We start from the raw sequence: 20995 nt of genomic DNA, 5'->3' as shown, positions 1-20995 counted from the left end.
TGGGTCACAGTCTGGCTTCAGCTTTCAGGAAAGTTTACAGACCTCTTTTGGTGAAATCAGTGGGTGAGATCATGAGCAAACCCTGGAAGATACAGGGCTCACCACAATCAAGGTATCTGGCGTGACTGCAGCATAAAACAGGTCTACTACAGCCAAGCATCCAAAGCGGCTGGCTCTGTACTTCCTGCTTTTGGATCTTTTGAGGACTGTTTTCCCCCACTGACTTGGGATTTGGCCTTTGTGGGTAGGCTGCCATTTGTCTACCTGCATTATTGCTTCAGCAATTTTATAGGTGGTGTATTTTCTGTTGTTCCTCTTGTCCCTGTGGGTCTGTAATTTTACAAAAGTTTGGCCACAGTTTTGGTGGAGTTCAGCGTGGAACAAAATTGTATGTGTTAATTAATTAGATCAACTGCATATAATAATTGTGTCTATATCTTGACAATATTTATAAGTTTTATTTCTCTTGGCAAACTGCATTTCCTGGTACTTTTAGAAATTTTTTTTTTTTTTTTTTTTTGAGACAGGGTATCACTCTGTTGCCCATGCTGGAGTGCAGTGGTGCAATTATGGCTCACTGCAGCCTCCAGCTCCTGGCCTCAAGTGATTCTCCTGACGTGGTTGCCCAAAGTGCTGGGATTACAGGTGGGAGAGCCACCTCACCTGGCCAATAGTGGGTATCTTTTTTGTTCCACCTGAATGTTATTGGGAATGCTTCAAGGGTTTCACCAAAAGGCATAATAATTTGGTTTGCAATACATCTTCAAAAAAAAAAAAAAAGACTTCATATACTCGTATTTATCTAAGAGTTTAAAAAAAGAATGAATAAATAGGCCAAGTGCAGCGGCTCACACCTGTAATCCCAGCACTTTGGGAGGTCAAGGTGGGAGGATAACTTGAGGTCAGAGATTCAAGATCAGTCTGAGTAACATAGGGAGACCCCATCTCTACGAAAAAATTAAAAATGTAAAAAAATTAAAAATAAAAAAACCCAATAAATTATAATGAACTTAGATAAAATACCTTCTTGGCATCTAATGAGATGATCAAAAGGTTTCCTTTCTTCAACTTTTTTCTTTTTAAGACAGCATCTTGCTCTGTTGCTCAGGATGGAGTGCACTGGTGCGATCTCAGCTCATTGCAACCTCTGCCTCCCAGGTTCAAGTGGTTCTCCTGCCTCAGCCTCCTAGTAGCTGGGACTAAAGGCATGCAACACCATGCCTGGCTAATTTTTAGTAGAGATGGGGTTTCACCACATTGGCCATGCTGGTCTTAAACTCCTGGGCTCAAGTGATCCACTCGCCTTGGCCTTCCAAAGTGCTGGGATTACAAGTGTCAGCCACTGCATCCAGCCTTTCTTTGACTTCTTAAAATAGTATGGTATTAGTAATCTCCTAGTATTGGAGATTGGTGTCTAAGGTGAAGCCAATTCAGCCATGGTTTCTTATTCTTTAAATTTACTCCTGAATATATCTGCATACCAATATTTTCAGATTTCTTATAGATACACCTATTTGCTATTAATTATTAATAAATATTAATAAAGAAGACAGGGCCATAATTTTCTATTTGTCTATTTCTATTTATCAAGTTTCCTAACAGTTTCACACTAACAGAAACAATAATTATAAAATTTCCTTTTTCTATTCTGGTAGAAAAGTTTAAATAGAACTATCTGGTTCTCGAAATTTAAGAAATACCTTATGAAATCATCTGGTCCTGCGATCACCTTAATGACAGGTGCAGTGATAACCAGAAATCCTTTTCCTGCCTAAGAGTGTGGCTTCTGCCCTACTAAGGACTGAGATCATTGTGGCATCCTCCCCAACCCTTCCCCCCACCCAAAAGGAGCTCGGTGGGTCCCTTTCTGTGGCAGTGGGGATGGAAGGTGGGGCACGATGAGTTGGGGACTTTTATTCCACCATCTTGGTCCACTCTTTCTAGGTGGACCCCTTTCTTTGTGGATGTAGGAAACCTGAATACTGTGTTAGTGACCCTGTGAAGGCTTTAAAATTCCAAGTTCTAATAAAAGAGAATCAGAAATATTGGTTAGTATGTCTCTTTCTTTACTTTTTTTTTTTTTTTTTTTTTTTTTTTTTTGAGACAGAGTTTCACTCTTGTTGCCTAGGCTGGAGTGCAATGGCATGATCTCGGCTCACCGCAACCTCCGCCTCCCGGGTTCAAGCGATTCTCATGCCTCAGCCTCCCGAGTAGCTGGGATTACAGGCATGTGCCACCACGCCTGGTTAATTTCGTTTTTTGTTTTTGTTTTTTTTAAGTAGAGAAAGGGTTTCTCCATGTTCGTCAGGCTGGTCTCGAATTCCCGACCTCAGGTGACTGCCCACCTTGGCCTCCCAAAGTGCTGGGATTACAGGCATGAGCCACCATGCCCGGCCTCTTTTTTTATTCTTGATATTGGTTATTTGTGCTGTATTATTTCCTCCCCCTTGATAATCTTATCAGAGACTTATAAAACATAATGGGATCTAAGGTATATTTGTTTTCTATTTCATCATATTTGCTCATCTTTAATATTTTATTTCTTTAGGTTGGTTCCTTGAGATGTATCCCTAGCTAATTAATTTGCAGTTTTTCTTTTCTAATATAAGCACTAAAAGCTAGCAACTTCTCCTAGGAAGTCTTTAATTGCATGTGACAAATTTCAATGTATGTAGTACTTTCATGAACATCCAGATCAAAATGTCTTCTAGTTTTATGATTTATAGTTGAGTATTTATTTATTTAGAAGTGTATTTCTTACCTTTCAAGCATATAGCCCTTGCCTTTAAAATTTTACAAACGTCTATATCCCTAAACAATACTGTAACATTGTGTTATCACACATGCTTTTAAAATCTCCATAAATGTATGTAGTATATAGATTTATCCTGATGTATTTTTAGTGATGGAACTGTTTTTTCTTTTTAAAAATTTTTATTTTAGATTCAAGGGGTCTATGTGCACTGGGGGGACAGTTTCTAGTTACTCATTACCCGTAGAGTAAACACTGTACCCAACAGGTAATTTTTACAACCCTTGTGCCCCTCCCACCCTCTCCAAATGTTTTCCTTCTATTGTAAACTTACGAGATTCAATCTCGACACTTGTTGCTCCAGTGTGTTTTTCACTGCTATGTAACAGTCCATCATGAAATAACACAATTTAAACATGCCCAATATTGGCTGGGTGCAGTCACTCATGCCTGTAATCCCAGCACTTTGGGAGGCCAAGGCGGGCGGATCACAAGGTCAGGAGATGGAGACCATCCTGGCTAACACGGTGAAACCCCATCTCTACTAAAAATACAAAAAATTAGCTGGGCATAGTGGTGGGTGCCTATAGTCCCAGTTACTCGGGAGGCTGAGGCAGGAGAATGGCGTGAACCCGGGAGGCGGAGCTGCAGTGAGCCGAGATCACGCCACTGCACTCCAGCCTGGGTGACAGAGCGAGACTCCGTCTCAAAAAAAAAAAAAAAAAGCCTGATTGAGTACTTAGGAATTGTTTCCAAATTTCACCATTATGAAATAATATTATAAGGAACACCCTGCTATAATGTCTTCTCATGTACACAGGGTAAAAGTCTCTCTACTGTACTAGGAAGGAGTCGAATTGCATTTTTAACTTTGTTTTTGTCAAACCATTCTCTAAAATGGTTATAGCAACCACTGTACTAATTGCACTCTTATCAGAAATGTATCACAACTGTAATCCCAGCACTCCGGTAGGCTGAGGCAGGCAGATTGCTTGAGCCCAGAGTTCAAGAACAGCCTGGGCAACATAATGAGACCCCGTGTCTATAAAAAATACAAAAATTAGCCAGGCATAGTGGAATGCGTCTGTAGTCCCAACTACTCAGGAGGCTGAGGTGAGAGGATAACCTTAGCCCAGGGAGGTCAAGGCTGCAGTGAGCTGTGATGGCGCCACTGTACTCCAGCCTGGGTGACAGTGAGATCCTGTGTCAAAAAAAAAAAAAAAAAAATGTATGTGGTGGAAACACCAAAGAAAACTGGGAGCCATACCTTTAGCAAATGAAAACCATTTAGTAGGCATAAATGTACTTTTCTCAAAAACATATATTACATTCCTTTTTTTTTTTTTTTTTTTTTTTTGAGATGAAGTCTTGCTCTGTCACCCAGGCTGGAGTGCAGTGGTGCAATCTCGGTTCACTGTAACCTCCGCCTCCTGAGTTAAAGTGATTCTCCTGCCTCAGCCTCCCGAGTACCTGGGACTACAGGCATGTGCCACCACACCCAGCTAATTTTTGTGTTTTTAGTACCTCGGTCTCCCTAGGTGCTGGGATTACAGAAGTTGAGCCCATGTGCCTGGCTTGTATTTATATTTTAAAAACTATAGGGCTATGCCTTTGGAGTGGACTCTGTAGAAAAGATTGGGGCAGAGAAGATAAAATGGTTCTTACTTTTTGCTTTATGCCCTTAAATATTCTATTATTTACCATAACCTTAGTTTTGTAATAATAACTTTTTAAAGACTAAAGTTACAAAGCAAGTCTATCAGGGCTAAAAAGTAGATTCAAGTCACAAAATTTTCTTTCTTTTTAATCATCTGTTGAAGTTGCACAGCCCTGGGTCTACTCAGGAGCTATATGATCTTTGGTTGGACAATGAACTTTAAAAACAGATGTAAATCAGATTCCTAGCATAGTGCCTACAAGATTCCAGAATACTAAAAAATGTGAGTGCTCTTTCTAGTCAATAAAAATGCTATTTACTTTAGAAAATATTTTAAATTTTCATATACCAGATCTCTTTTGATCTTCATCACAATCCTGTATGGCAAATAAGAACTAATATTCATGGTGGGTGCGGTGGCTCACACCTGTAATCCCGGCACTTTGGGAGGCCGAGGAGGGCAGATCACAAGGTCAGGAGTTCAAGACCAGCCTAGCCAACACAGTGAAACCATGTCTCTACTAAAAATACAAATAATTAGCTGGGCACAGTGGCGGGTGCCTGTAATCCTAGCTACTTGGGAGGCTGAAACAAGAGAATCGCTTGAATATGGGAGGCAGAGGTTACAGCAAGCCGAGACTACACCACTGCATGCTAGCCTGGGCAACAGTGCAAGACTCTGTCTCAAAAAAAAAAGAAAGAACTAATAATATTCATTCATGTTTACAACTTATATAGGAAGAAAATGAGGCCAAAAGTAAAGTCTTCAATATGGCCTCTTAAATATATTAACTTTCATTATTAATAGGCTAGTATTTCAAAAGGGAGTCCAATACTCATCATTTACAAGGCTCAGAATTCATTTACCTGGTATGTCCTAAAGATTCTCGCCATATTGGTAGCATCACAACTGGTTTAACTGCACACTCCAAAATGGCTAAAGCCAATGCAAATTCTCTGGGTTTGCTACACATCTGAACTGCCTTGATCCAATTTGCCCTGTATTTCAGAAGAAATGAGAGAAATTATTTCACTAGGTTGACCTTAAATTAAAAGCACAATAGTTGTAACTTTGGCCTCCATCTGATTCCAGGTATAAAGACGATGACTCCTAAAAATCCTCCAAATAGTTAGTGGTGTCGGTTCAGTAAGTTAGAAGTACACTCATGCCTCTAATGTCCTGTCTGCTGACCACATTGACTTCATTCAACTCATTGGTAATGACGTTTTCAAATGCACAACTACAACAATCATTTTATAAACATTTAGTATATTTACAGCAATAAATTAACCTTAGTTTCCTTTACCTATGTGATGCCCAGTTGGGATGAAGAAAGGATGAAGGGATGTTGTTTTCTAATTGGGTGATAGTCAGTCTCAGAGTAGATATGGTAAGAACTTTGGACCCATGGACAGAACCGTTCCATTTGAACTCTCCTGCTGGAGTCAGACAGAACTTATGTGCAAGATGCCTTCTCTTATCATGGTCTTCTCTGTGCTGGTGCTTATTCAAAGCAAATGAATTGGTGGAGTATTGATTGTGGTAGACGCGATACTTCCCTTCTTGACCCAATTTAAAATAATTGTTGATATTTCCTTTCATGATCACTTCCTTTTTGGTGCTCAACCGTGAAATTTCTCCTTGAGAGTTAACTACCAGTACCTGACCAAAAAAATAAAAAGACTGCATTATTTATGTCAATCAAAGATGTGAATTTCATCTAATCAACTGTCTTTCAATAATTAAAATTAATCATTCAAAGTAAGTTAAGATAAATCTTATGATAGAACTTTTGAAGTCTAAAAGCTAAGTTAAAAGTAAAGCTAATTGTTTACAATTAAACAACCAAGATATGCCTGCAGAAAGAAAACTAACACATATTAAGTACCTATTACATGTCAGATACTATTATTCACTGCTTTCATGTATTAATACTTCAAATATACCCATGAAACCATACATATAAATTACTCACCTATCATTTTTTTCAAGTTTATAACATATACTTAAGGGAAAAAGAAGGGCATCGCATGTACTATCCCCCAAAAAATATATTCCTAAAAACATCCTTTCGGGTCCTTTTATCATTCCAGCTACAGTGTAAGACCCCATGGATACTTCAAAATAGTATTTTCAAACAGTTGATCCCAACTCTTAGTGGACTATCAGATAAACAGTGGCCTTATTCAGCTTTTTTAAAAAATAAAATGTAATGCAATAGGCTAGCACAGAAAATATCAGAGTGCTTCCCACATCATAAAGTAAAATAGTATTTCAGAAAGCTTTTGAATATGTGTACTGGGCTGCTATGAAAAAATGTGTATGTGACTGAGGGTCAGAGTCAAAAAGAAGTATGAAAGCCATTGCTTTTAAGCAATTGCTGCAATGTTAAGAATGTCCTTTATTCTTGCATATCTACCCTGCAAATAATTCTCGAATATGGGAGACAAAGTTGGGACCATGTCCTGTCACCACGGCTAGCTGAAGCACAGAGATACCGAGTCCTAGCTCTGATCCCATTGTTCATGATCAGAGCTGGGATGCCATGCTGTCCTATCCACAGTACTCTGCTATCAGTGGGTAAGCCTCATCCTCTAATTAGCTGCAGGTTCACCTGAAGTGATCATAGCTAGAACTGAGCAGTGAATCATCTACAGTTCTTTAATAAACCATAAAACCCAAAATAGCCTACTCATATGTGTAAAGAAGGCTTTAATTCTTTAGAATTATATGTAGAATAAAACTGTTCATGTAGTAAGAAAGTGTATCAGCCATTTATAGCATTTTTATGCCTTGACTGAAATTTGGGTACGCAACTATGCTTATAAAGCCTAATACTTTCAGTCTTGTTAACTACTACAGTTTCGGAAACAGAGAAAATATAATTCAAAAATAGGTCTACAAATTTCTACAAATTTCCAGCCCCTATTTTTAAGGTGTGGTAATTAAAATTATCTCACATTCCACAGATTTTTGTTTTAAACAGAAAGAACACACCTCTTTGCCCTCCTTAAATAATTTATTTGCTTCATGTGCAGCGGCTGCCACCTGCTGGCTCTTCAGCTGACTAAGTTTGCTATCTGGATTCCGCAATCTGGTGATGATTCGAGTTGAGCCAGATGCTCCTTTTCCAGCTCCAGGAGATTCACTTAGCTCCCCGTTGGACTTCTCCGATTTGAAATCACCTACTGTCAAATGAATAGGCCACAAAGCAATTGCTGACAATAAGTAAATAATTATAACCACCTTATTTCACCAAAACTCGTATCTGGTGTATGTGTAAGATCCACAAAGTAAACAGATAAAAAAAGGCCCTTGAATGGCAAAGCAAGTATCATTATTCCTTAAGTTTTTTACTTAAAAGAAAATATGTTGTAACTTTACTGTGAGTCATCTATTATTCCACAAAAAATTGAAACATGCTGGGTTATCTGTTTAAAAACTCATCTGTTTGAAAACAGGAAGAGCTGCTACAAACTTACAAGTAACAAACATAATAATAACTCAAAAAGCAAACTAACAAAGTGTTGCCTTATATATTCAATATGGATTTCTGTATAAAAAGGTTTAAGTTTTTGAAAGATTTCCACTGAAATTCTGTTTAAATACCAAATAGTTTTGAGCTTATAAACATAAATGTCATGAATTTTCCACTAGGGAATTTAGATAATTATCTGTGTAGGCTTATCAATATAAAACAATCAACTAAATTAGTTTTTTATAACCTAATAAAGACCTCTCAACATTTTCCTAGTAAATTTTTAAGGACACACTAAACTCCACAGGAGCAAATTTCTGCTTTACATACTGATCAATCTCACTTTGGCTGAATTTTTTTTTTCTTTTTTTTGAGACAGGGTCTCATTCTGTTGCTCAGGCTGGAGTGCAGTGGCACAATCTCAGTTCACCTCAGCCTCAACCCCCAGGCTCAGGTGATTCTCCCATCTCAGCCTTCCAAGTAGCTGGAACCACAGGCATGCACCAGCACACCTGACTAATTTTTTGTATTTTCTGCAGAGATGGGGTTTCGCCATATTGCCCAGGCTGGAAAAATTTGTATACATTCTAAAACTACTGCATCACTGTTAAATTTCCATTGACCAGATAGTTGAATAAGCTCTGATTTTTCCTTTTTAATTTAAAGCTTTAAAAAAATGAAGACACTGTGGCACTGGCAAATGAAAAGACAGATAATTTACTATATGATATATAATAAAGATGGCATTTTAAGTAAATAGAGAAAAACTAGGATTGGGAAAACTGGCTATGCATTTTGGGGAAAATAATTAAGACAATTTTGTAAACATCTGTTAATTTTACCTGTTCCATACCCCTTCTTTCCTTTGGGGAGATACTTCCCTCACCACCGCCCTCCCACACTTTAATCATATGATTCTGCCAGGGCTGCAAATCAAGTATGTTGCCCCTTTGGAGCGAGCAGCAGGACCCAGCGTGGCCAGACAAAGCACACCACTAGCTGGCCACAGTGACTGTCCCAGGACTGGCTCTTTGGCTCAATCCTCTCAGCATCCTTTTCCAGTTTTTAAAATCCAGAGATGGAGAAGGGGTCTTTGCTTTTTGTACTAATGAGCAGGAAGGGTGTAAATCAGAAGTTGGCCACTTTTATTCCCACAACATGGAGAAAACCGTTGATAACAGCAAACAATAAGCCCATCACAAAGAAGAAATAAACAGAAAAATATGAAACGGCAAAATCAGAAGTAGCCTCGATAACCTCATTTGGCTCCCTAGATCCAACAATGCACCTGAGGCTGTCACCAACACTGGACTTCTCAATAGTGTATGTCAATAAAATTCCCTTTTTAAGCAAGTTTGATGTATTTCTATCAAAACCAGTAAATTCTAAATAATCTGGTAGAATATTTTAAGATTTTGACTCCAAAATATCACACTACTACAGTTTTGGAAATAAAGAAAATACAATTCAAAAGTAGGTCTAGAAATTTCTACAAATTTCCAGCCCCGATTTTTAAGGTATGGTAATTAAAATTATCTCACATTCCACAGATTTTTGTTTTAAACAGAAAGAACACACCTCTTTGCCCTCCTTAAATAATAAGTCAAAATGGAGAGAGGGTACTGAGCATCTTGCCACCCCAGGCTGGAAAGCAAGTCACTTTGGATGTGTGGTAGCAAAGCAGTTGGTCAGACTATCAATTTTCTCTTGGGTCTCAGATCATGGAGGTTTTTTTTCTTTTTTTTGAGATGGAGTTTCGCTCTTGTCGCCCAGGCTGGAGTGCAGTGGTGCGATCTCGGCTCACTGCAACCTCTGCCTCCTGGGTTCAAGCGATTCTCCTGCCTCAGCCTCCCAAGTAGCTGGGATTACAGGCGCCCGCCACCATGCCCAGCTAATTTTTGTATTTTTAGTAGAGACGGGGTTTCACCATGTTGGTCAGGCTGGTCTTGAACCCCTGACCTCCAGTGATCCACCCGTCTCAGCCTCCCAAAGTGCTGGGATTACAGGCGTGAGCCACTGCGCCTGGCCTTCAGATCATGGAGTTTTATGCCAAGATGTTGAACTATGGTGGTTAGTTCTTGGGACCATCTATAAAGTCCTGTAATAGATACTTTTTAGACATCATTTGGTCTGGGTCAGATTTCCCGAAAAGAGAAAGAGAATGACACAGTGCTTTTAAAAAGCTTCCTAATTCAGAGCCAACAATCCAATACTGCTCAGAGTCAATCCTTTATCACTTGCTAAATTTAGTGCAAATAAGGGAAAGGAGGAGAAAATTACCACAGGGGTAAGACTTAAAGGAATGGAGAAAAAGAACTAAACTGAGGGTAGAGGTCTTTACTGAACACCCTCTGCCCAAAGGCCATATTCCTCCTATTATAAAGCAGTGGATCCTTGTGATGCAGCCTGGCAGCAGGCTACAGATCTACATCAGCCTCTGCAGCTCACTGTTTAATGATACCAGCAGGCAGAAGCCTACACAAACTCTTCACCTGAGGACTAGGACTATTGGCCTACTAAACAGATAAACTGAGGAAGTGGAGGGTGTTCACCTTCATGGATCCTAAAGCAAGTTACTGGGCATTAAGTACTAGCTGGGAACCTAGGAATCTACAAGTGAGTGCTACTGTCAGAAAAAACCCCAAACCTGCCAAATAGGGTTATATGATTGTTTAATCCTATAGAAGTCCCCAGCAACCCAACCCCAGTAACAGACAGCAGGAACTAGGCAGGTAAAACAGAATGGCCTCCAGAAGGGGAATCTTCTTATATGTTTCTCACCTCTCAAACACAGCCATTCTCCCAGAAAAACAATGGCATCCAGTTTTATTAAAGAACACCCTCTACTATGTTTATGAGTGTCATAGGCAGTTAAATTCATAATGTGGCTCATGGATTGTGAGATCAAGATAAGCCACCTCGAGATCTACTGGAATTTAATTTTTTTTTTTTTTTTTTTTTTTTGAGACGGAGTCTCGTTCTGTCACCCAGACTGGAGTGCAGTGGCACGATCTCGGCTCACTGCAACCTCTGCCTCCTGGGTTCAAGCAATTCTCCTGCCTCAGCCTCCCCAGTAGCTGGGATTACAGGCACACACCACCATGCCCGGCTAGTATTTTTTGTATTTTTAGTAGAGACAGGGTTTCACTATGTTGGCCAGACTGGTCTCGAACTCCTGACCTCGTGATCCGCCCGCCTTGGCCTCCCAAAGTGCTGGGATTACAGGTGTGAGCCACCGAGCCCGGCCCAGATCTACTGAAATTAATATACACACAGAGAAATACTAGATTTAGGTCTAGATACAATTACAGGATGTAACTGTGGGAAAGAGGTTTTTGAAAAAGTTTTAAGTTGTGGGTGAAATCTTTGCATTATATTAGGCAGAACCATTTTTGAATTGTATGTATGAGAACAAATGTGAGTACACACACGTGCTGAGCTACCAAAGGATGGAAGTGTAGATATTTACTATGCTATAATATTTGCAGCGTCCCTGTTTCCTTAGAAAACCATTCCTACCCAACTTTTGCTGGAGGCATCAATCGTAGTACCTTGCCTGCCCTGGCCATAGGGTTAGAAACAATATGATCCAAGATAAGCCACTCAAATTCCTTCCTCAAGGGCTTCTGATTTGGAGCAGAAGTAGGGGCCTTGCCTTTGGGTCACAGACCTTGGAAACATATAAATACAAATTGCTGGTGCCATCTTCCCTGCCACATGGGAATAGCCTGTCTGTACTGGGAGAGAATGAGGTTAACACACATAAATATATGTAGACCTAAAAGGTGAGAGAGAGAGGAAAACAAAGAGTTTGATACCTGAGGGTCCAGTTATACCTGATGATGGCTCGGACTTCCCAACTACATGAGCTAATTAAATTCCCTCTTCACTTAAGCTAGTTTAAGTTGGTTTGGTCACTTGCAATTGAAAAAGTCCTAATTAAAACAGATTTCCAACTCATATCAAATGAAAATTATTACTTCAGATAGGTTGAAAACAAAGTTATAGAAGTATTATAAAGAATTACTATAAAACATATATATATTCTTGGGATGGGGATAACCCTCCTCAATAAAACACAAAATCCAGAGAAACTCTAAAGAAAAAGATTGATAAATTTAAGTAAATAAAAATGTAAAAATGTCTGTATGACAACGAAGAGCTAAAAGTAGGCAATTACTATGCAAATATACGTAAAATTGAAGATTAATAGCAACAATACATAAAGCATTCCTAAAATTCATTAAAGAAAAATAACAAAACTCATTAGGAAAAAGTGAGAAAAAGATATGAATAAGCAATTCACAGGAAGTTCAACAAATACATGTAAGAAACTTAACCACATGAGTAAGAATATGTAAATTTGTATACGAAATACTTTTCACCATTGGCAAAAATGTTAAGAGGAATGATGTTGTTGAATTTAAGTGAGAGAATAAGGAAACAGAAATGTATGAAAGTTACTGGTATAAATCTCTTTTGATATACAATTAAGCAGTAGCCATCACTGTTTTTTAAATGTAGCTACCATTTGACCAGCAAGTCCACTTACTGTTTCTATACTGCCAGAAATACCTGCACAAGTACACAAAGATATACGTTAAGGATGTTCAAAAGCACCACTATTTGTAATAATGAAAAACTGTTAACAACATAAATGTCCATTAATAGAGAAATAGTAGATGAATTATGGTTCATCCATACTCTGGAGTACCATGCAGCAGCTTTAAAAAAAAATGAATTCAATTCATAACACAAAAAGATTCTCTCCATGTATCACTGAGTAAAAAAAGCAGGATGCAGAACAATACATGCAGAATGATCCTGTTTATATTTCAAAAAACCCCAAAACTAAAAAATCGCCCAAAGCTCTCCAAAACCTTTGTAAACATACATACATAAATGTAACTGCAGAAAGATCTAAAATGTTACACACCAAACTGTTGATGCATGGTGGTTACCTTTGGGGAGGGGAGTATGAAAAGGATCTTTCTTCCCTGCTCTGTGTGCTTTTGTAGATTTTGAAAACAAAAACATTGAGTGCAAGTGCTGTGTTTAAAAAAAAAATGAAAAATAAAGGAAAAGAACATCTAAATTCCACCCCCCACCAAACTTTCATTTAAAAAATTAAAAACTAAAAAACAAAAACAAAAGCAAAAAACCACACACACACACACAAAAAAAAGAAAAAAAAGAAAAAACTTCCCTTTAAAGGAATGGATGAAGTATATTCTTACCTATCTCTTCCTGAATAGAGACAGGTGTATGAGATTCTCTTTCTCCATTTTCAGGATCATCAGCTGCCTTAGCAGATTCACTCTGGGAAGAATTTAGTTCACTGCTGCTGTTACTGTTTTCCAGATTAGGCTGGATGGAGGTAGTGGTAGCACTAGTGTTACTGCTCTCACATGTCTTGTTAGGTTCTTCTAGAAAAATAGAATATCTGATTTTTAAATTGGAAATCACATGAAAAATGACGAATTGTCAGAAAAGACAATTGTTTTAGGATTTCATTAAGAAGCTGTATTTTTAAAAGAAAATCTGTTCATGTATCAGTAATGCAATGTATAAAAGAAAGTGGTAGGCAACACCTTATTTTTTTAAGTCTTCCAGGCTATTAACTCACTGACTTTTTTTGGGGGGGTGAGGACCCAACTCTAACTCACTGACTCGTATCACCTTAGTCTCCAGTACAAGGCAGACAATTTTTTGGATACCCCAGAGCTGGAGAATAACCAAGTGATATGACTATCTCTCAAAACTTACAGTGCGCCAGATATTGCAGAGGTAGTTTGCTGAGATAGTATTCAAAATCTGAAGCTTATAGTCTTACTTTTCAAAAGTACTCAAATAGTATTAGAAACAGAATTAAGCAGGATTATTTAACTCTATGGTCTTCTGCCTGAATACTATGCCCAAATTAACTGAAAGGTAATGCCTAAATGCGATTGTTAACTTCTTTTTAAGATGGAGTCTCACTCTGTTGCGCAGGCTGGAGTGCAGTGGCACAATCTCGGCTGACTGTAGCCTCCACCTCCCAGGTTCAAGAGATTCTCCCGCCTCAGCCTCCTGAGTAGCTGGGACTACAGTCAGGTGCACGCCACCATACCTGGATAATTCTTTTATATTTTTGGTAGAGATAGGGTTTCACCATGTTGGCCAGGCTGGGCTCGAACTCCTGACCTCAGGTGATCCACCCACCTTGGCCTCCCAAAGTGGCTGGGATTACAGGCGTGAGCCACTGTGCCCAGCTGTGATTGCTAACTTCTGAGGACAATTTAATAGTATCACTAAGAGTATAGTTCTTAAAAGCATATAAAAATTACCACTACCATGAACAGAAAGCCTGTCTTTCCATGGTAGTTCAGAAATTAAAAGTCTCCCTCTGCCTTTGTTTTTGCCACTGACAAGATACTCTTCAAATCACCTAAAAATTGGTTGATAGTCTATTGCAGTAACTATCTTTAATGTATAATTTTGGGTTTCAGGAAAAAAACCTGACAACCTGATAAAATATGGGAAAATATGTGAACAGTCATAAAAGAAAAGAAAATGGCCTTTAGGCATATGGAAATATGCCCAATTCAAACTATGAGAAATGTAAAATAAAACTATATGAAGAAACTACTCTCAGTTATCAACTGGCAAAAATCCAAGTCTCACAATACACGAAGGGAAAATTACACATGCATTTACTTAACACAGCAATCCTGTGTCTAGAAATCTAGCCCAAAATACACTAAAAAAAAAAATACTAAATTACTTATCTATAGAGCTAGCTATTCATTGGAGTATTTAAAATGGCAAAAGACCCAGAAACAAAGAAAATGCCTATGAAGGCTGGGAGCAGTGGCTCACACCTGTAATCCCAGCAATTTGGGAGGTTGAGGCAGGCAGATCACTTGAGGTCAGGGGTTCGAGACCAGCCTGGGCAACACGGTGAAACTCCATCACTACGAAAAATACAAAAATTAGCCAGGCATAGTAGTGCATGCCTCTAGTCCTACGTACTTGAGGGGCTGAGGCAGGAAGATCATTTGAACCCAAGAGCCAGAGGCTGCAGTGAGCCGTGATTGCGCCATTGCACTCTAGCCTGGGTAACAAAGTGAGAACTTGTCAGAAAAAAAAAAAAGGGAGGGGCCAGGGGTAGTGGCTCATGCCTGTAATCCCAACACTTTGGAAGGCTGAGGTGGGCGGATCACCTGAGGTCACCTGAGGTCAGGCATTCGAGAGCAGCCTGGCCAACATGGTGAAACCCTGTCTCTACTAAAAATGCAAAAATTATCCAGGTGTGGTGGTGCATGCCTGTAATCCCAGCTACTTGGGAGGCTGAGGTTGCAGTGAGCTGAGATTGCGCCACTGCACTACAGCCTGAGTGACAGCACGAGATTGTTTCAAAAAAAAAAAAAAAAAAAGAAAGAAAATGCCCATCAATAGGGCATTGGTTGAATAAAAGCTGGTATACACAATGAAATACCATGCATTGTAGCAAGAACTGAGGATAATCACTATGTTCACACATAAAATGATCTCCAAGATTAAATGTTAAAAGCAAGGTGTAGAACAATACTTATAATATGCTTACTTTTGTGTGAGAAGAGGAGGAAATACAAATTTATAAACAGATTTTACTTTTATTTATAAAAAACAAAACGAGCCGGGCGCGGTGGTTCACGCCTGTAATCGCAGTACTTTGGGAGGCCAAGGCAGGTGGAACATGAGCTCAGGAGTTCGAGACCAGCCTGGCCAACATGGTGAAACCCCGTCTCTACTAAAAATACAAAAATTAGCTGGGCACAGCGGCAGGCGCCTGTAATCCCAGCTACCTGGGAGGCTGAGGCAGAAGAACTGCTTGAACCCAGGGGGGCGGAGGTTGCTGTGAGCCAAGACCGTGCCACTGCACTCCAGCCTGGGCAACAGAGTGATACTCTGTCTCAAAAAACACACACAAACAAAACAAAACAAACAAGCAACATTCAAGAATAACCAAAAACCAATAAAAATGGCTACTTAGAAAAGAAAGACATGGTTACCTAGAGAGAGAAGGAATGAAAGTCAAAATTCTCTGAATATCTCCCGTTACATAGTTTTCAATTTATAATAATGTAAATGCTCTACATTTTCAAAAAATTAAAAGTTATTATAGAAATACAATCCCTAAAAATTAAACTGAAACAAATGAACTGTGTATCAAGTTGTGCATAACTACACAAAGGATTATTATTATTATTATTATTTTAGATGGAGTCTCGCTCTGTCGCCCAGGCTGAAGTGCAGTGGCGTGATCTCAGCTCACTGCAACCTCTGCCTCCTGGGTTCAAGCGATTCTCCTGCCTCAGCCTCCTGAGCAGCTGAGACTACAGGCGCCCATCATCACGCCCGGCTAATTTTGTTTGTATTTTTAGTAGAGACAGGGTTTCACTATAATGGCCAGGCTGGTCTCGAACTCCTGATCTGTGATCCGCCCACCTGGGCCTCCCAAAGCGCTGGGATTATAGGCGTGAGCCACCAAGCCCAGCCCTTTTTTCTTTTCTTTTTTTTTTTTTTTTTTTAGACAACGTCTGGCTCTATCACCCAGGCTGGAGTGCAGTGGCGTGGCGTGATCTCAGTTGACTGAAACTTCTACCTCCTAGGCTCAAGCCATCTTCCCACCTCAGCCTCCTGAGTAGCTAGGACTACAGGCAAGCACCACCACGCCCAGCTAATTTTTATAGAAAAGGAATTTTGCCATGTTGGGCAGGCTGGTCTTGAACTTGTGAGCTCAAGCAATCTGCCCATCTTGGCCTCCCAAAGTGCTGGGATTACAGGCGTCAGCCACCACGCCCAGCCCAGGGGATTATTTTAAGTGACTTTGGAATATGATATTTTGTCTGTACATCCTTACTAGAAATGTAGTATAATGAGAAATAAAGAGCAGCAAAAAGTCGTAAATGCCATTCAGTAGTCTTAGTGTGAACAATAATACTGGTATTATGAAAATACTACTATTTAAAATAAATCACTTCCTCTTATTATTAATGCACATTAGGATAGGAATACCCTGTATTGGGATAAAGCAAACATATAGCTGAATTACTGTTGCTGGAACTGAGGCTTTCAGTGTAAGGGAACAGATATACAAATGTAAACAAAGAAACTAAGTATGCTATCTGCAATCTGAATCTGAAATGTCAATGTAAACTGATGATCTTTTTCTTTTCAAAAATATGTCTTTCATAACACTACCCACCAAAAAAGCATAGGGACAGTGAGAGCCCAACAACAAAAAGTATCCCTGAGTCTAGACTGTGGTCTCTAAATATCATTTCCCATTAAAAGGAACCAGGACTTCTTGGAGGAAAAAAAAATGATTCCAAGTCAGGATAGGTACTGTGTAACATAAGCCTCAAACATTTTATTCTGCTAAAAAGCAAGAAGTCCGGCCAGCACGGTAGCTCACGCCTGTAATTCTACCACTTTGGGAGGCTGAAGTGGGCGGATCACCTGAGGTCAGGAGTTCGAGACCAGCCTGGCCAACATGGCGAAATCCTGTCTCTACTAAAAATACAAAAATTAGCTGGGTGTGGTTGTGGGCGCCTGTAATCCCAGCTACTCAGGAGGCGGAGGTTGCAGTGAGCTGAGATTGTGCCACTGCACTCCAGCCTGGGTGACAGAGCAAGACCCTGTCTCAAAAAAAAAAAAAAAAAAAAAAAAAACAAAAACCCAAAATCCCCAAAACTCCATATTACAGTCTCCAAATAAATAACTGATTCTGGGCCAGGTGGGTGGCTCACACCTGCAGTCTCAGCACTTTGGGAGGCCGAGGTGGGCAGATCACAAGGTCAGAAGTTCAAGACCAGCCTGGCCAACATGTGAAACCCCATCTCTACTATAAATACAAAAATTAGCCAGATGTGGTGGCGCGCGTCTATAGTCCTGGCTACTCGGGAGGCTAAGGCAGGAGAATCGCTTGAACCTGGGAGGCGGAGGTTGCAGTAAGCCATAAGATCGCACCACTGCACTCCAGCCTGGGTGACAGAGCGAGACTCTGTCTCTCAAAAAAAAAAAAAAAAAAAAAAAAAACCTTGATTATGGAAAGATTATTAATGAGTGAGAGGTTAACAGAGAATCTTGCAATCTCACCACCTAAACTCGTTGATCAATCTAGGCATCTCTGAAGGTACAAAAACCATATACCATGAGCCTTTTGATGGGATACAATATCAATTAACCAGCACATTCTTTATAAAGTATTCTTGCCAAAGACAGTTGAAACTGAATAGGTATTAAGAGATTAACTTTTTAACTTTTAAAAGTGATAGTAGCAATCTTTCCCCAAATATTGCCCAACTTTTTCAGTTTAATCTTTAATCTGAGCCACACAAAATGTTTCTGATCACTGATAATACTCAATATAATGGGTATCATGAAATCTGCCCAATTTTCTTATGTTCTCACTCCTATCATTTTTTATACTACAATTTTGTCATTTTCTCCTTCACATAACTTCTACCAAATTATATGAAAATGACAGTATTCTGACAAGATTTTATTTCAAAGTAAAGCCTGAAATATATATATGTAATATATATACGTGTGTGTGTGTGTGTGTGTGTATATATATATAATATACATACACCCTCTTCAATTGTTCATGGAACATTTATCAACATTAATTAAATGTTGGGCCACAAAACAAGAGTCAATAAAATTTAAAGGACATAAATCATGCATAGAATGTTCTCTGATAGAGGGTTAAACTAGAAATCAACTAGAAAAAAAAAAGATAATTAGCCTATAGTTTCAGCTACTTAGGAAGCTGAGGTGGGATAATCACTTGAGCTCAGGAGTTCCAGGCTACAGAGAGTTATGGCCACTTTACGGCAATCCAGCCTGGGTAACAGAGCAAGACCCTGTCTTACACACACACAAAAAACCAAAAACCAAAAACCAAAAACAAAAACCTACAAATGTTTGAATATTAAGCAATATACTTCATCACACACCATATTAAAACAGAAATTAGACAATATTTTAAACTAAATGATAAAGGGAACATGACCTATTACAGTTTGTGGTTGTGTTCTGGTCATGCATTTAAAAATAAAATAAGTTTGTGGGATGTAGCTATAGCAGGACATAGAGGAAAGCTGATAGCCTTGATAGTAGACGTCATAAAAAAACAAAACTAAACTACAAACCATCAAAGCAACCATCTTCAGAAGCTAGGAAAGAAAATCCATAAAAGTACAAAGAAAATAAAAGGAAGGACAAAATACTAAGACCAGAAATTAATTTGGAGAAAAACATACAATAAAGAAGGTCAACAAAGACAAAGTTGTGTTTTTTTAAAAAAAGACTAATGGAATTGCTAACAGCCTCACAACACGATTAACGGGGGCAGGTAACGAATTTCCAGATTGGAAAAATAGAGCGAGTATAGACCCTATATATATAAAAAAGATACGATGTTATTATGCTAATAAATTGTAAAAATTTGCCAAAATGAGCAGATTCCTTAAAAAAAGGCGATTAAAGAAAATGAACCTAAGAAAACAACAGAAAATATGAATAGCCCACTGCTGTAGTTTGGATAGTTTAGATGTTTGTCCTGCCAAAAATCTCATGTTGAAATTTGATCCCAATGTTGGAGGTGGGGCCTAATGGGAGGTGTTTGGATTCTGGGGACGGATCCCTCAAGAGCAGATTAATGCTCTCGGGTTGGGTGTTGGGGGTGAGTGAGTTCTCACACTATTAGTTCCCACTAGAGCTGACTGTTAGAAAAAGAGCCTGTCATCTGCCACCCCCGCCTCCCCTATTTGCTCTCTCACAATGAGGTATCAATATACACTGGCTCCCCTTTCCCCTTCCGTCATTAGTGGAAGCATCATAAGGCCCTCACCAGATGCAGATGTCAGTACCATGCTTCTTGTACAGTCTGCAAAACCACATAGCCAAAGAAATCTCTTTTTTTAAATAAACCACCAGCCTTAGATACTCCTTTACAGCAACACAAATGGACTAAGATAGCCATTATCTACTAAAGAAGTGAATGAAATCTATAATAACCTTCTCACAGTGAAAACTCCAGAACCAAATCACTCCAGCAAACATTTAAGAAATAACACCAGCCCTAGCCGGGCGCGGTGGCTCACGCCTCTAATCCCAGCACTTTGGGAGGCTGAGGCGGGTGGATCATGAGGTCAGGAGTTCAAGACCAGCCTGGCCAACATGGTGAAACCCCGTCTCTACTAAAAATACAAAAATTAGCCAGACGTGGTGGTGGGCACCTGTAATCCCAGCTATTTGGGAGGCTGAGGCAGGAGAATCGCTTGAAACAGGAAGGCAGAGGTTGTGGTGAGCCGAGATCGCACCACTGTACTCCAGCCTGGGCGAAAGACTGAAACTCCATCTCAAAAAGAAAAAAAAAAAAAAAAAGAAATAATTAACAACAGCCCCACAAAAACTCTTCTAGTACCAACTCATGATATGAGGCCAAAATATTCCTGATACTAAAGACTGACAAAATATTCCTGATACTAAAGACTGACATTATCAGAGAAGAAAAATGCAAGCCAATTTTACTCATGAAAGTAAATGCAAAAATCCTAAACAAAATATTAATAAACTGGATGCTATAATATATAACAAGGAAAATACATCACAACAAGTTATATTTACCCCCAGGAACATGAGATTAGGTTAACATTCAAAATTCAGTGTAGATACTTCTGCTTCTAGTCAAGGTAAAGTGGAAGAACCAGATTTACCCTCTCCCATGAAACAACTACAAAGCAAAAAACAGAACATTTATAGAAAATGAACAAAGAAGCAGACAGGTACCTCCCAAAAGAGGATATCTAAACGACTGACACACACACACACACACACACGAACACATAAAGACGCTCAACATCCTTAGTCACAAGGGAGCTAGCAAGTGCAAAGAACAGTAAAATATCCCTACATGCCCACTAGCATGTCCCCTCAGTCCTCCAAAAAGACAAAGAGTGATGCTGATGATACCCAGTGTTAGCAAGGATGCAGAGGAGCTAGAACTCTCATACACTGTTGAACTGAATACTTCTACAACCCCTGTGGAAAACTGTTTAGCAGTATCTACCAAAG

The 20995-nt window shown here is 39.2% G+C and overlaps 1 protein-coding gene across 51 annotated transcripts in view; it reads right to left on the bottom strand.

The window, feature by feature from the left end:
- Positions 1–20995, bottom strand: part of BPTF (bromodomain PHD finger transcription factor) — a 158876-nt gene that overhangs the window by 84937 nt on the left and 52944 nt on the right. For 23 of the 51 annotated variants that reach the window (XM_005257150.4, XM_005257154.4, XM_005257159.3 and 20 more), the window contains 4 exons: positions 13126–13314; positions 7408–7598; positions 5717–6072; positions 5277–5408 (listed from right to left, as the gene is read on the bottom strand). In XM_005257150.4, coding sequence (XP_005257207.1) covers positions 5277–5408; positions 5717–6072; positions 7408–7598; positions 13126–13314 — 868 coding nt within the window. The other 28 variants (XM_005257155.4, NM_001439141.1, XM_047435598.1 and 25 more) reach the window with 8 other exon arrangements.

Source organism: Homo sapiens, chromosome 17, assembly GCF_000001405.40.
Source record: "Homo sapiens chromosome 17, GRCh38.p14 Primary Assembly".
In the NCBI taxonomy this organism is placed as follows: Eukaryota; Metazoa; Chordata; class Mammalia; order Primates; family Hominidae; genus Homo; species Homo sapiens.
The sequence above is the reverse complement of the archived record's forward strand: the minus strand, read 5'-3'. Positions and strand labels throughout refer to the sequence as shown.